At 38.1% G+C, this 17,531-nt stretch overlaps 1 pseudogene; it reads right to left on the reverse strand.

The window, feature by feature from the left end:
- LOC100418730 (T-box 20 pseudogene) overlaps positions 1,282-17,531 on the reverse strand; it is a 40,189-nt pseudogene continuing 23,939 nt past the window's right edge.

The raw sequence follows: 17,531 nt of genomic DNA on the forward strand, positions 1-17,531 counted from the left end.
AACATTAAAGGAAGGCTTAAGAAGATAGCAAAAGTTGAAAATAAAGTGGAAGAATGCTTTAGATTGCTTATAAGAATTGCCAACATTTCAGTTATGGAGCCATCACGTTATCAAGCAATTTAAGATTACAGACCTAGCAAAATGGTAAAGGAGTCACTAAATGTAACACAGTAAGGAAAAAGGCCAAATTAGATGTATGGACACATTTCCACTCAGGAACATAAGTTAAATCATGGCTATCCTGGCATTTAGAATGGTCATTCTCAAATCCTTGTCAATCAGCGGCAGCAACCACAAGGCAGATTTACTGAAAATGAGAATTTGTCCAGATGCATTTTAACATCCACAAGGTCTTCCAAAACTGAAGTGAAAATGAAGGGATCTCTGGCACCAACAGCAGAGAAATCCTTCTGGAATAGAACAACCATCCTTCTGTTGCAGCTGTAAGTGAAAGCAAGCCTCACAGAACATCATGCCTAGGCTTTGGAGTGTTCCTCAGTGAATTAGTCAGTAGTGTGTTTAGAATGCAGCCCAGAAAAATCAAACTTCAGTTTCACCATGTAATATAGAGAGGCTCTTGCTTCAAAACTGTATATGGAGGATTTTTCCTCCATAACTCTAGCCCCAACCCTAACTCTGGCAAGTATTTGCAATAAAGAGAACTGGGAAGAAAGAAGACTGTGAAAACTGAGCTTGTTGGTTACTGGCCCTTCAATATTACAAATAGAACTTTGTGAGGTCATTACCATGTATTCATCCACAAAACAGGATGCATTAGCATTATCTCAGCTCCTTCCCCAGCAGAATAACACAAAAGAAAACTAAACATGCTTATGCTACAGCACTACAAATATTTCTCTACTGGCTCCCATTTTCTACAGGGATAAATTGACTTCAGTTAGTCATTATGATCAGTATGCTATATAGTATGGCCTCTTTGAAGATTCTTTTATCTTTTACTGCATCAACACAGCGTTTTAACCATGAGGAATAATGCACTTTAAGATTCATCAGCCTTGTATTAGTAAACTTTCAGGCTGGCTGAGAACTTTACATGGATTCTCTCCTGAACCCAGGAGCTGTCCCTCAGATGAATCCTGGTCCGTGGTGCATTCCCTCAGTGGTAGGTTTTATTGTGAGTCCGGCTCTCCTCTTTGATAGGTCCTGTGTCTCCTGGAAAGCCCCTACTCCAATACCCCACATCCCACCCACCCAGCCCTGTCCTATATTTCCATACCCACTTGCACATTCTGGATCTGGATTCTCCCTATTTTAGAAGAGTCATACAAATGGCATCATCACAGCAGAGGAATGGCGTAGTCCTTGAATGGCAGCATAGGGCCCCTGCTGAAAATAGTGATGGTATCGCGGCATGTGGAATGAAGGGAATGTGGGGCCACTCCCTTGCATGGAGCTGGCAATGGCCGATGGGGTCAAAGGCATTCCCAGTCGGCTATATGGCGGCAGAGAACCCTGGATGGGGTGAGGAATGGGTGTTGCTATGGATGCTGTGCTGGTGCCAAGAGCAGTCAGGGACTGTGGGTGCTGAAACCCAGGAAAACTGGAAGAAGATGATACCCAGGAGCTGAGAGACAAATTATCAGATGTTGTAAAGGCTGACCCTGTAAGGAAAAACACTCATTAGACTGGAAACACTGTGTCAATGTACAGATCAAGAATTAAATTATCTGTAAAGATCAATTTGTGTTTAAGAATATTTAATACATCTGTAATTTAGAAAGACAAACACACATGAGATCTGTCACGAGGCAAATCTACTTTTCTAGGTAAGAAAATGATATTTACACCTTGCATGGAATAGAGAATTTACTAAATGGAAAAAGACAACTCATTGGATAGCCTGCACACTCCCACAGACTGACCAAAACATTAATACCCTGCCTGCAGGTAATGACCTGATTCTCTTAAAAAAAGCTGCAAATACCTGATATCTGTTCTGACCTCTGTAGTGTCATAAGGAAGGCTGAATGTATTAAATCTCTACCAAGCTGTCTGGTTTCCAAAACTGTTGTGAGAACCTAAGAAAGTAAGTTTTCCTACCACAGCATCCAGAAATTTAGAATATAGTTGACACTGAATTTTCTGACTGTATACAGTTGTCCCTTGAACAACAGGGGTTAGAACTGCACAGATCCACTTACATGCAGATATTTTTCACTACAATTTACACTGAGTGTGCCTGACCCCTCTTGCCTCACTTTCACCTCCTCCACCTCTTCAGTCTCTACAACCTCCGAGACAGCAAGACCAACCCCTCCTCTTCCTCCTCTGCCAACTCAGTGTGAAGATGAGGATGAAGACCTTTATGATGATCCACTTCCACTTAAGGAATAGTAAATATATCTCCTTTCTATGATTTTCTTAATAACTTTTTCTCTAGCTTGATTTATTAGAATACAGAATGTAATACATGTAACATACAGAATATGTGTGAATTGACTGTTTATGTTACAGGTAAGGCTTCTGATCAACAGCAGGCTATTAGCAGTTAAGTTTTAGGAAGTGAAAAGTTATATGCATGTTTTGGACCACGCAGGAGTTGGTTCCCCAACCACTGTGTTGTTCAAGAGTCAACTGTAATACTAGTGGTTCACTTGGACTGAGTAATAAGAAATCCCTCTCCCTCTCCCTCTCCCCCTCCCCCTCCCCCTCCCTCTCCCTCTCCCTTTCCCTCTCCCCACGGTCTCCCTCTCCCTCTCTTTCCACGGTCTCCCTCTGATGCCGAGCGGAAGCTGGACTGTGCTGCCGCCATCTCGGCTCACTGCAACCTCCCTGCCTGATTCTCCTGCCTCAGCCTGCGGAGTGCCTGCGATTGCAGGCGCGCGCCGCCACGCCTGACTGGTTTTCGTATTTTTTTGGTGGAGACGGGGTTTCGCTGAGTCGGCCAGCCTGGTCTCCAGCTCCTGACCATGAGTGATCCGCCAGCCTCAGCCTCCTGAGGTGCCGGGATTGCAGACGGAGTCTCGTTCACTCAGTGCTCAGTGGTGCCCAGGCTGGAGTGCAGTGGCGTGATCTTGGCTCGCTACAACCTCCACCTCCCAGCCGCCTGCCTTGGCCTCCCAAAGTGCCGAGACTGCAGCCTCTGCCCGGCCGCCACCCCATCTGGGAAGTGAGGAGCGTCTCTGCCTGGCCGCCCATCATCTGGGATGTGAGGAGCCCCTCTGCCTGGCTGCCCACTCTGGAAAGTGAGGAGCGTCTCTGCCCGGCCGCCATCCCATCTAGGAAGTGAGGAGCGTCTCTGCCTGCCCGCCCATCCTCTGAGATGTGGGGAGCGCCTCTGCCCCAATGCCCTGTCTGGGATGTGAGGAGCACCTCTGCCCGGCCGCGACCCCGTCTGGGAGGTGAGGAGCGTCTCTGCCCGGCCGCCCCATCTGAGAAGTGAGGAGACCCTACGCCCGGCAGCCGCCCCATCTGAGAAGTGAGGAGCCCCTCCGCCCGGCAGCCGCCCCGTCCGGCCAGCCGCCCCGTCCGGGAGGGAGGTGGGGGGGTCAGCCCCCCGCCCGGCCAGCCGCCCCATCCGGGAGGTGAGGGGCGCTTCTGCCCAGCCGCCCCTACTGGGAAGTGAGGAGCCCCTCTGCCCGGCCACCACCCCGTCTGGGAGGTGTACCCAATGGCTCATTGAGAACGGGCCATGATGACAATGGTGGTTTTGTGGAATAGAGGAGGGGGAAAGGTGGGGAAAAGATTGAGAAATCGGATGGTTGCTGTGTCTGTGTAGAAAGAAGTAGACATGGGAGACTTTTCACTTTGTTCTGTACTAAGAAAAATTCTGCCTTGGGATCCTGTTGATCTATGACCTTACCCCCAACCCTGTGCTCTCTGAAACATGTGCTGTGTCCACTGAGGGTTAAATGGATTAAGGGTGGTGCAAGATGTGCTTTATTAAATAGATGCTTGAAGGCAGCACGCTCGTTAAGAGTCATCACCACTCCCTAATCTCAAGTACCCAGGGTCACAAACACTGCGGAGGGCCGCAGGGTCCTCTGCCTAGGAAAACCAGAGACCTTTGTTCACTTGTTTATCTGCTGACCTTCCCTTCACTATTGTCCTATGACCCTGCCAAATCCCCCTCTGTGAGAAACACCCAAGAATGATCAATAAAAAAATAAATAAATAAAAGAACTACTCATGTAACCAAATACCACCTGTACCCCCAATAATTTATGGAAAAATAATAATTAAAAAGTAAAAAAATTAAAAAAAAAAGAAATGTCCTATGTTTTCACAGATTATATAATTTCATATTAAGGACATAAAACAATGCAGAGGACTCTCTCCCCATACGAACTTTACTGTTCCCAGAATGGAGCCCCTCTGGGCTCTTTTCTCTGGACTCTCTTCCCAGATGCAGAGTGCTGCTCTCTAAGCCTTGGGAACAGAGAAACTTTGTTCAGTTCCTGCTGTCAACATTGGGGCCACTTCCTCTGCGTAATATCCTTCATTAGGACAATCCTCTTTTAAAAGTGTTTTCTATTTTGGTCTTTGATTCTAACAAATTATACCTGACATAGATGGAACAGATATATTCCCTGACTTTCAGATTATCAAACTGAGGTTCAGAAGGACTTGGTGACTGCCCCCAAAGTTCAACAGCTCTTATGTACTAAATCATGGACAAGTAACTCCTGATCCCTGCCTCAAAGGCTCAGTATTCTTTCACTTAAAAAAAAAACAAACCATAGGAAACCTGCAGGCAGCAGCATCGCCTATGATTCAAAGGCAAAATAATGAAATCTGTGAGGATCAATGTCGGGGCTCTCCCTTCCCAGGGAGGCTCCTGAAATCCTTTCCCGGCATCATGTACTCTGAGGACTGGCCATCTCATCAACGACCTGCCCCCATTCTCCTTTAGGTGCTCTGCCTCCCAGCAATTCCATGGCCTTGGAAGCTACCTTACCTCGATTTGGGGTTGTCTGACTCTCATCCCCCAAGACATCTTCTTCTCCTCCATAGGTACGGATGGGTGAAGGTGCATTGGAATGCTTTTGAATCAGGCTCTCCACACTTTCCCTAGGTTAGAGTGACATATCACAGGTTAACTAAAATGTAAAGGACTCAGAGATAGAGAGAGGTCTTAGAGGTAACTCACTAATCAGTAAAACCATTTTCTCAGCCAAAAAGCAACCACTGCACAGAAAGATGAAATTCAAAACATGTACATTTATTCTGTTGTACAGTGACTCCTCAGAGACATGACCTCAGGTGTATGACTGCAAGCAAACATCACTGACTAGGACAAGGACAATCCCCTGAAATACTTTAAAATGAAGGACAAAGGGGTGAACAGGAGCTATGAAACCTGACCACAGGAATATGGAATTCCATGATGTGAAAAATAATGAGTGAATGAATTTACTGCAAGGAGCTGCAATGACTCTTCTTACTGACTTCATCAGCTAACAAATACAAAACCAATACTCAGTTGATACAAATTGCACTGATCCAACAACCGATGAAATGTTGGCAAAAAGTTCAAATTATCTTTAGTCAGCGAAAGACTCTAATATTTACCAAGAAATCAAACAAATTCATAGATTATAGTACAATATAGATAGTTTGGATAATGAACACTAAGATCCTTGTTGCTGTAAGACTGAAAATTACAAAAAACCCATGAAGAAAACACAAATGACCAATAAGGAGTTTTAGCCTCTAGGTAAATTGGTATATTGTCTTGTAGATGGTCTTCCTCCTGTAACATAGTCTATCAACCAAACAGTGAGGTTAACTTTAAAAAATAAAAAAAATATTTTGGCATTGGACAATTTGACCTTCTGCTTTAAAAAAAAAAAAAAAAAGCCAGTACAATTTTAGCCAATTTGTTTGCCAAAAGTGCATACTGATAACAGATTAGTCTGCATGGTACACATTTCTGGAACAGCTGTGGCCCAAAGACCAATGCCAAATTGACCAGCAAAGGACAAAAGAAGACTTATAAAATATGTGTTAAATGAGGAAGGACAAACAAAACACCACATTTCATATTGAGGGAATAAGCAAAGCAAATAAAATGTCATAATAACTTTTTAAAATGTCAATACTTGTCAACATTTCACGTAAATATGCAAACTTTACCTGTGAAAAATTACTACCTAATTCATAGTAAATTTGGTGTTGTAGAAAGCTTATATACCCACATAGATGAACGCATTTTATAATATATAGTATGACTATGACTATGAGGACTTAAGGATATGCGTAAAAGGAAAATTAACTCCGCAACTATTTAAGTTACATCTCTATTCTCAAATTGTTTTAGAGTAAGAATAAAGTACCACCTCTTATAGTCAAAATAATTAGGATCCAGATCCACTGCAAAAAGGTGTCAAAAAGAATGATGTCATTCCGTATGTATAGATATGGAATAATTTTCAAGATATAGTAAGTGAAAAAAGTAAAATACAGAATGATATGTAAAGTATGCTACCATTTGTGAAGTTAGAACACAGGATATGTATGTTCATATATGCCTGCATATGCACAGGATTTCTAGAATGTTCCAGTTTCCAGAACAAGAAACTGCCTAGAAGAGGTTGCCTCTGCAGGGTGAAATCAGGGACTTGAAGGATTGGAGTAGTGATTCTCACATTTGTGTGTATGTTTGAGTCAACTAGGGATCTTGAAACAAACAAACAAAAAAAACTATATTGAGATATGATTAAAATACAAAAAGTGGCACATATTTAAAGTGTATGGGGCCGGAGCCGGGCCAGTGGCTCACGCCTGTAATCCCAGCACTTAGGGAGGCCCAGGCGGGTGGATCACCCAAGGTCAGGAGTTCAAGACCAGCCTGGCCAACATGGCAAAACCCTGTCTCTATTAAAAATACAAAAATCAGCCGGGCATGTTGGTAGGCACCTATAAACCCAGCTACTCAGGAAGCTGAGGCAGGAGAATTGCTTGAACCTGAAGGCAGAGGTTGCAGTGAGCCAAGATCGTGCCACTTCACTCCAGCCTAGACAAAAGGGTGAAACTCCATCTTAAAAAAATAAAAATAAAGTGTATAGTTTGATCAGTTTGGGCATATGTACGCACCAGTAACACCATTGCCACAAGCACAATAACAAAAATACCTAACACCTACAAAAGCTAGCTTCCTCAAGCTCCTATGCTCCATGGTCCCCATCGCAACAAACCTTTCCAAGGAAACCACTAATATAATTTCTGTTCTTGCAGATTAGTCCGCATTTTCTAAACTTTTACAAAGATGAAATCTTACCTAATATATTCTTTTTTATCTGGCTTCTTTCACTCAGCGTATTTTAAGATTTATCATGTTGGGGCATACATTAATATTTCTTGCTCTGAGTATCATTATATTGCATGGATGTATTATGGTTTATTCACTTATTGATGGATATTTGACTTGTTTCCAGTTTTTGAATGTTAAAATGAAGCTGCTACACATATTCATGCATACTTTTTAACAAATGGACATATACTTTTATTTATCTTGGAAAGACATCTAAGGATGAAATGACTAAATTGCATATATGTGCAATTTTTAAAGAAACTGCCAAACTATTTGTCAAAGTAGTCATACAATTTAGCATTCCCACCATCAGTGTATGAGAATTCCAGGTCCTCTGTACTCTCACTGACGCCTGATATGGTCAACGTTTAATTTTAGCTATTGTAATATGCATGTGCTGGTATTCCATCATACTTTTAATTGTGTTCCCCTAATGACTACAATGTTGAACATCTTTTTCTGTGCTTATTTGCTTCCATATTTCTAGCTGTTAATATCTGTTTATTTAAAAAATTAGGTTATTTGTTTTCTGAGTTTTGAGATTTCTTTTTATATTCTGGGCACTGGTGTTTATAGAATATATGATTTGCAAATATTTTCTTCTAGGCTGTGGCTTGTGTTTTCTCTCTCCTAAACAGTTTCTTTTTAAAAGCAGAGTTTTTAATTTTGATGAAGTGCAATTTATCCATTTGTAATTCTATGGATCATGCTTTTGGTGCCATATTTTAAGATCTTTGCCTAGCCCAAGACCACAAAAGTTTTCTCCTAGTCTTTTTCTGAAAGTGTTATAGTGTGAGGTTTTATGTTTGTGTCTATGATTCATCTTGAGTTAATTTTATATATGAATGAGTTATGAATTGTTTATTTTTGTGCTTATGAATATCCCATTATTCCAACATTACTTGTTGAGAAGACTGTCCCTTCTCCATCACATACATGTGGGTCTACTCTTGGACTCTTTATTCTATTGATGTGTTTGTGGAACTTGACACCAAAACTATACTGTCTTGATTACTGTAGCTGAATAAAATTATTAGAACTTTTGACATTAGGTAGTATTAGTACTCTATCTTTTTTTCAAAGTTGTTTTGGCTATTCTAGTTCTTTGCATTTCCATATGAAATTTAATATTACTTTGTCAATCTCTACAAAAAAAGACTCCTGTGATTTTGGTCAGGATTATTTTAGATCTACATATCAATTTGTGCATAACTGACATCTTAATATTGCATCCTTCAAATCATGAACCAGTATATCCTTCCGTTTCATTAGGTCTTCTTTAATTTCTCTCAGCAATGTTTTTGTAGTTTTAAGTATATATGTCTTGCATATCCTTTCCAGATTTATCCCTACTTTGTATTATAGTAAATATTGCTTTTTAACTTCAATTTCTGATATTCATTTATAATAGATAGAAATACAATTTATTTTGTATATTGATCTTGTATTCTGTGAACTTGCCAAACACATTTGTTCTAGTGGGTTTTGGAGATTTGGGTTTTCTGTATAGATAATCACGATGCCTGTACACAAAGATAGTTTTACTTCTGTCTTTTCAATCACAATGACTTTGATTTTTCCTGACTTATTGCAATGGCTAAAACTACCTGTACAATGTTGAATTAGCAGTGGTAAGAATGCGCCGGGCACAGTGGCTCACACCTGTAATCCCAGCACTTTGAGAGGCTAAGGTGGGCGGATCACCTGAGGTCAGGAGTTCAAGACCAGCCTGACCAACATGGAGAAACCCCGTCTCTACTAAAAATACAAAATCAGCTGGGCATGGTGGCCCATGCCTGTAATCCCCACTACTCGGGAGGCTGAGGCAGGAGAATCGCTTGAACCCGGGAGTCGGAGGTTGCAGGGAGCCAGGATCGAGCCATTGCACTCCAGCCTGGGCAACAAGAGCGAAATTCCATCTCAAAAAAAAAAAAAAAAAAAAAAAGAACAGACATCAATAACTTCTTCTTTATCTTACAGAAAGCATTCAATTTTTCACCATTAGGTATAATATTCATTCTAGGTTTTTTGTACATACAATTTACCAGACTAAAGGTTCTCTTCTATTCCTAGTTTGCTGAGAGTTTTCAAGAATAGAGGTTGAATTTTGCTAAATGCTTTTTCTGTGTCTGTTGAGACAATCATATAGTTTTGTTTTTAGTTTGTCAGTACAATCATTACATCCATTGAATTTCAAATGTGAAATCGACCTTGCAGTCCTGAACTAGGCCCTAGTTATTTATGACATATTATCGTTTTTTTAATTCAATTTCCTAAAATTCTGTTTAGAATTTTTCCATGTATATTCATGAAGAATATTGGTCTTTCTCTAGTTTTAGTATCAAGATAAGGCTAGTCTCATAGAATTAGTTAAAACTCTTCCCTCCTCTTCAATTTTCTAGAAGATTTCAGGTAGAATTGTCATTATTTCTTCCTTAAATGTTTGGTATCATTCACCAGTGAAACCATCTGGACCTAGAGTTTTCTTTGTAAAAGTTTTTTAACTACAAATTCAAAACTATCAGAGTATCTGTTTTCTCTTGAATGAGCTTTGGTAGATTCTGTCTACGAGAAATTTGTCCATTTTGTTTAAATTGTTAAATTTTAATTGTAAGTGTTCATAATATTCCTTTATTATCTTTCCTTTCAATACCTGTAGAACCTGTAGTGATATTATTCCTTTCATTCTTGATTACGGTAATTTATATTTTCTTCCCTTATTTTCTTGCTCAGTTTGGCCAGCAGATGGTCAATTTTATTAATCTCTACTTTTTGTTTCATCGATTTTTCTCTACTTCTTCCCTGTTTTCTATTCCATCAATTTCTACTCTGATATTTATTATTTTCTTTCTTCTACTTGCTTTGGGTCTCATTCACTCTTGTCCTAGTTTCTTGAGATTGAAGATGAGGTTATTGATTTGGGACCTTTCATTTCTAAAGCAGAGATGTAGCACTATAAATTTTCTGGAAGTAATGTTTTAGCAGAATCCTGCAAGTTTTTATATGCTGTATTTTCATTTTTATTCAGTTCAAAATATTTTCTAATTTCCCTCTTGATGTCTTCCTTCCCCCAAGGGTTGTTTAGACATGTGTTATTTGACTTTCAAATATTTGGGGACTTTAGAGATATCTTCTTGTTATTTTCTCTAATATAATTCCATTACGGTCAGAGAGCACACTTTGTATGACTTGAATGCCCTTAAATTTATTGAGACTTCTTTTGCGTAGAGTGTAAGATCTTTATAAATGTTCTGTGTATACTTGCAAAGAAGGCATATTCTGCTAATTTTAGATAATATTTTCTTTTTTTTTTTTTTTTTGAGACAGAGTCTCACTCTGTCGCCCAGGCTGGAGTGCAGTGGCGCGATCTCGGCTCATGGCAAGCTCTGCCTCCCGGGTTCAAGTGATTCTCGTGCCTCAGCCTCCCAAGTAGCTGGGACTACAGGCGCCCACCACCACGCCTGGCTAATTTTTTTGTATTTTTAGTAGAGACCGGGTTTCACCATTTTAGCCAGGATGGTCTCGATCTCCTGACCTCATGATCCACCTGCCTCAGCCTCCCAAAGTGCTGGGATTACAGGTGTGAGCCACCGTACCCGGCCTAATTTTAGATAATATTTTCTAAACATCAATTGGGTCAAGTTAGTTGATACTGTTGTTCAAATTTTCTGGGTCTTTACTCATTTTCTGTCTACTTGCTCTATCAATTACTAAGAAAGGGATATTAAAATTTCCAACCATGATTGTATATTTGTCTGTTTTTTTTATACTTCTGTCAGACATAAAGATGTAGGACTGTATATTACCCTTGAAGAATGGAGCCCTTTAATAGTATGAAATTATCTACTTTATCCCTAGTAAAATTCTTTTCTCTGAAATCTACTTTGATATTAATACAACTCTTAAGTTTTTCAAAATTATTGTTAACATGCTACTTTTTTTCACTGCTTTACTTTCAACTTATGTCTTTACATAGAAAGCATATTTCTTGTAGGCAACATATAATCAGGTCTTACTTTTTAATTCAAACTGACAATCTCTGCTTTTTGAGATATGTAGTGCATTTATATTTAAGGTGATTATTGATATAGTTAAGTTGAAGTCTGGCTATTTGCTTTCTGTTTGTCCCATCTGTTCTTTTTTATCTCTTTCCTCTTTTTTGCTTTCTTTTGGGTTTTCTTTAAATGATTTCATTTCATGTTCTTTGTTGGTTTATTAGATATAACTTTCTTTTGTTATTTTAGTAAATGACTTAGGATTTATAGTAAATATCTTTAAGTTGTCACAATCTACCTTCAAGTGACACTAAATCTTTCAAGTTAGTATAAGACCCTCAAAATAATATATTTTCATTTCTCCCTTCCAGCCATTGTGCCATTCTGGTCAAACATTTTATTTTTTATATAAACTCCATTCTAATTGTTATTATATTTGTTTAAAAGGTTAACTATCTTCTTAAAATATTTAAATAATAAAAAATTAATCTACTTATCCATGTAGTTCTTATTCCTGTGCTCTTCATGCCTTTGTTTACATCCAGATTCACATCTGGTATAATTTTCTTTCTGGTTGAGGGACTTCCTTTAAAATATCTGTACTGCAGTTTACTGGTGGTGAATTCTTCGCCTTTTGTATGTCTGGAAAAGTCTTTATTTTGCTTTTGTTTTTTTGAAAGATATTTTTGCTGGGTAAAGAATTCTAGTTAACAGACTTGATTTCTTTTTCAGTACAGATGATCCCCAACTTGCAATGGTTCAACTTACAAATTTTCAGCTTTACAATGGTGCAAAAGCAGTAGGCATTCAATACAGTCCTCAGCTTACGATGGTGTTATATCTGGACTTAGACACTTTTGACTTATGAAATTTTCAATTTATGATGGGTTTATCCAACCATAACCCCATTGTTAGTCAAACAGCACCTATACTTTAAAGATGTTGCTTCACTGTCTCCTAATTTACTTTGTTTCTAATGAGAAATCTGTACTCATCCTTATCTTTGTTCCTCTTATGTAATACGTCTATCATTCTCTGGCTGTTTTAATATTTTCTTTATATCACTAGTTTTGTGCAATTTGACTGTAACATAATTTGGTATTATTTCTTCATGCTTTTTGAGCTTGGGTTTGTTGGGCTTCTTTGGATTGTGTTTACAATTGTCATTAAATTTGAAAAATTTTTAGATATTATTTCTTTGGGTATATTTTTTGTCCCACCTTCCAACCACCTTTAGGGCCTCCAATTACACAGATATTAGGCCACTTGAAATTTTCCCACAACTGACACTCTTTCAATTTTTAAAAATTTATCTTTGCTCCTTGTGTTTCATTTTGGGTAGTTTCTATCACTATGTCTTCAAGTTCACTAATCTTTTCATCTGCAGTGTCTATCTGCCACTAATCCCATCCAGTATATTTTTCATTTTATACACTGCAGTTTTCATCTTTAGAATTGTGACTTTGATTTTTGGTAAATCTTCTACATCTCTCCTTAATTTCTGGAATGTATGGAATACAATCATAGTAAGTGTCTGAATGTCCTTGTTATTAATTAGAATATCTATGTGAGTTCTGACTTAGTTTCAACTGATTATCTCTTCACTACGGGTCATATTTTTCTGCATCTTTGCATTCCTGGTAATCTTTAATTAGATACTAGGCATTGTGAATTTTGTCAGGTGCTGAATATTTTTGTATTCTATTTATAAGGACATAAATATAAGACATGTCTTGAGGTTTCTTTTGGGATATAGTTAAGTTACCTGGAAATAATTTGATCCTTTGGGAGTTTGCTTTCAAGATATTTTAAGTAGGACTGGAACACTATTTAGTTGAGGGCTAATTCTTCCTCACTACTGAAGCAAAACCCTTCTGAATAGTCTACCAAATGCCTTCTAAATCACAAGGTTTTCCAGTCCAGCTGATTACGTCAGGCATTATCCCTGGGTGACCACGAGGTACTGTTTGTTTCCCCCTAATCTTTTCAGGTACTCTTCCCTGCAGCCTCTGGTAGTTTCATCGTATGGATTCCCTTAGCAAATCTCAGCTGAACACTCAAAAGGGATCCTCTATAAATCTTTGGAGTTCTTTAGGGATCCTCTGTAGATCTTTGAGTGCTTTTTCCATGCAGCTTTCACCTTTTCTATTGCCTGTCCTGTGAATTCTCACTGTTTTGGTCTCTGCAAACTCAGCTCTGACCTCTCAACTCAGGGAGTCTGGTGGGCTCTGCCTGTATTCTCCCCCACTGCCATGGTCTATACCCCCTCAGGAAATAAGCTGCATCATCACAGGGCTCTCCTCATTTGTTTCCCATCCCTCAGAGATTATTGTCTTTTGTTGCCTGATATCCAGTGTCATAAAAAACATTGTTTTGCATATTTTGTATGTTTCTTAGTTGTTTCAGGAAATAGGGTATATTTGGCCCTTGTGGCTTTACCTTTACTAAAAGCAATGTCTCTCCAGGTGAACTTCTAAAAATTCCAAAGCCAACACCACAGTCCCATACCAATTAAATCACAATCTTTGGGAGTGGGAGACAGGCTTCAGTAATTGTTAACATTCCCCCCTGGTGATTCCAATGAGCAGGCAAGTTTAGAAATGGAAGATAGGTGTGAGGATGGATACTTTTCACCATATACTCCTGTATAACTTTTGAATTTTGGATGTGTGTATTATTTATTTAAAATTAATTTCACATTACAAAATGAGACTATGATAAACCACCAATGAACAAAAACAAAAGAACTGCTGGTCTAACATTGGTACTTTGGGAACCCATTGTAGTGAGTTGGTTAAAAAATATAATTATGCGGATTTTTTTATCAATGTAATTTATGTATGGTAAGCAGTGCAATATATTGGAAATATCATGGGCTTTAATGTCATTTATCAAATGCATGAATGAATAGATGAGTAGGTGATCATCTACAACCATTTTCACATTCTGACTTTGTTACTTTCTTAACCTCTCTTTATCTATACACTGGGGAGCCTAACATCTGCCTCACAGGGCCACTCATTCATTGAAAAAAAAGTATTGAGTCACTACTATGAACAAGAAATTGCAGAGATAGCAAAACAAAACAAAACAAAACAAAACAAAACAAAACAAAAAAAAATTCCCTGTCTAATGAGTGATGAGGGTAAAGGGAAGACTGGGAGTTGGGGTGAAAAGTGGGGGAGAGAAGAAGAAAAACATGTAGTATGTTAGATGTTGATAATAGTGCTATGGAAAATAAAAATAAAACAGAGAATAACAATAAGAAGTATTACTATAAGGATTAAATGAGAAAATGCATTTGAATTACCTAAAATAGTGTCTGGCACATAGAAGATGGTAAATATAAGTGCCTTTAAAAGTATATCTAAAACAGGCAAAAATATTTTATCCTCTTAGATTATATTTTTTCCAATTTATTCTGCCTGTCTGTATAATCCTAATTCAGAATAATGTGGTCCAAACAGGATTTTTCTCAGTGACTGAATGCTAAAGTTGGTGGAGAAATTGACTAGAATATTACTTGCAGTTCTATTATAAAACTATATCTGACATCAAAGAGAAATGTTAAGCTTTAGTGAGTCCATTATCACTTGTTTAAAAGTGTAACCTATTTTTAAATATCCCTTGAACAGACTTATTGAATCCCATGAGTTAGGCTTGTTGAAATGAAAACATTTTATCATTCACTGAGAGGTACTGGTGAATATATTCAAAGCAAAAGTTAATGAGGAGAATAATCTGGCATAACACGGACCCTAAGTATTTTACCAGCTGCCATATATTTTAATCTTTATATACAAACACCTGATAATGTTGAACCCCAGCAGCCTAAACAGCTGATGTTATTTACTCAAAGGCTTAATTTACTACAATATTAGAGAGTGACTGTCTTTTGAGGTCATTAAGAAGAAAGTCAAGTGAGCTGAGCAACCTCTAATAAAACGACAACTATAACATACATTCAAGCTGATGTCCTTTAAGTCTGACGCATAAGTCATATTAACAAAATTTTATATGAACGTAGGAAAGAATTAGGTGGTTATTTTCACATGCAAAAGAACTTGTTTCAATATCTTGGAAGATATTTTTTGTACATTTATAAACGATTTGCTGTCCATGGGCCCAAATTCTGGATGGTGTTTTTCTAAGGTGTATTCCTTTTCCCACAAATTGCACATAACTGCTAAATTCATGCACTTAATTTGTTTTTTAAAAAAGAGTGTAATAGTTACGTCTCTAAAAAGCACACTTAATAAGATTTAAATATCTTTCACATAACACACACAAGACAAATAATTTCCCAAGTAACACAGTGAAACATTTTGCTTTTCTGAAAGAACATTATATTCATTTTGCCCTTGCTAGATCACTGGTATCATTACTTATGCTAGTCTCTAGGAGGGGAAAAGAGGGATTTTATTGAAGTGATTTACTTGTGTCAGGCCTGGAAGTGAACTGAAAGCAATGGCAGTTCTTATATAAAGGATGGCATAATTGAATTATTGCCTTTTAAGTGATTGAAAACAGTGGTGCATATCAGGGCCATCTCTTCGAAGATGTTACAAAGAGTAGTCAGGCCATGATGTTTACTTTATGTCTAATCCCTGTTTCCAGCAGAACGAGAAGTGCAAAGAATCTGTTTAGCCTGGAAGCCCACTGTGAGAATTTCTAAAATACTGTACCCTGAAAAATGAGAATGGCTCACCGAACAGGTCAAGTGATTTAGGTATCACAAGCTATGACACTATCTTGTAATGCTAATTCTGTCACATCCCAATGCAACAGACTGTAGTTTTAGTAGACTTAACTTTGGATTTAATAAGGTAGATAAAGTGGGTACTGTTATTGAAGGTCAGTCTTTCTAACATCTAATGCTAAATATTTTTTCTAGGCAAAAAAAAAAAAAAGGGCCATCATTACCTTCTTTGATCTTTAAAACATCTCCTCTGACTACTTTGTAACCATCAATTTCAGAAATGGTACACACGTCAGAGACACAATCATGGCCAGAAAATGGGCAAAACAGAGGATCACTACAATGATTATCCTGCTCTGCCAAAACATTCAGAACCATTTGAAGTCATTTGGACTATTTATTCAACCTCTAGACAAGCAAAACCTGCACTCTATCAGTACTGAAACTGGTTGCCCTTCCTCTATCTTTGAAACTAAAGTGCAAATTTCTCAATGCTCAAAAAGCAAAACTTTCCCTTCCCCTCACATTCTCCTTTGCAACACCATTGTTCCTAATACAATCCTCCTTTACTGCAATTACTAGATTGACGGCAATTATATGTTTTCAGGTCTGTCTCCACTACTACGCTGCTGGCCCTTGATTGAAAATAATACTACTACTTTCTTGATCTAGGCAGGGGTTCTCAGACTTTAGTGTTCACCAGAAGCACCTGGAGGGCTCATCAAAGGACAGATTGTCAAGCACCATCCTAGAGTTTCTGTCTCAGTAGGTCTGGGGTGTGGACTGAGAAGGTGCTGCTCAATATGTTCCAGGTGCTGCTGATGCTGCTGAGAACCACTGCCCTAGTGAAGTGGTTAGGGGCATGTTTGCTGGAGCAAGTCTGCATATCTTGAACCCTGCCCAGCTACTTGCCAGCTGTGTGCTCATGGGCAAATTACTTCACTTTTTCATGCCTCCCTTTTCTCATCTGTAAAATAAGGATATCAATATGATAAAGCTCTTAGAGTTATTAAGTGAATTAATACACAGAGAGCTTAATTGGTACCTGACACATAAGTGCTCAATAAATGTTTATAGATAACAAAATTAAATTATATTTATTGTTATTATTGAGCATTGAGATTATGTGTTCCAGAAGGTGCTTACATGATGATAATCATTTTAGATGAACCTGAGACTACCAGTCTCTATAACTTGCCATGCTTTGTTTAAACCTTCCTTCCTTATACATGCCAGAGACGAAATTAATATTAAATGTTATTTCAATTTACATTCTCATTTTCTCTCCTAAATATAGACCTGGCAAAACTGTGTTCAAAGAGAAAATGTCAAATCCATTAAAATCAAATATAATTTATAAAAAACAAAATACATAATGTTGTTTTTGCTCATTAATTTGTTCATTTTTACATCACATCTTACTGAGTCTTTGTCAATAACTCCTTGTCACAACATTTTTCTAAAGATTGATACAGATATATTATAAATTACTGGAAGACAATGTATCAATATTCGTAACTTCCACAAAATACTTAATAAATGAAAACTTTAGATAATACAATTT

This window comes from Homo sapiens, chromosome 12 (assembly GCF_000001405.40).
Source record: "Homo sapiens chromosome 12, GRCh38.p14 Primary Assembly".
Lineage (NCBI taxonomy): Eukaryota > Metazoa > Chordata > Mammalia > Primates > Hominidae > Homo > Homo sapiens.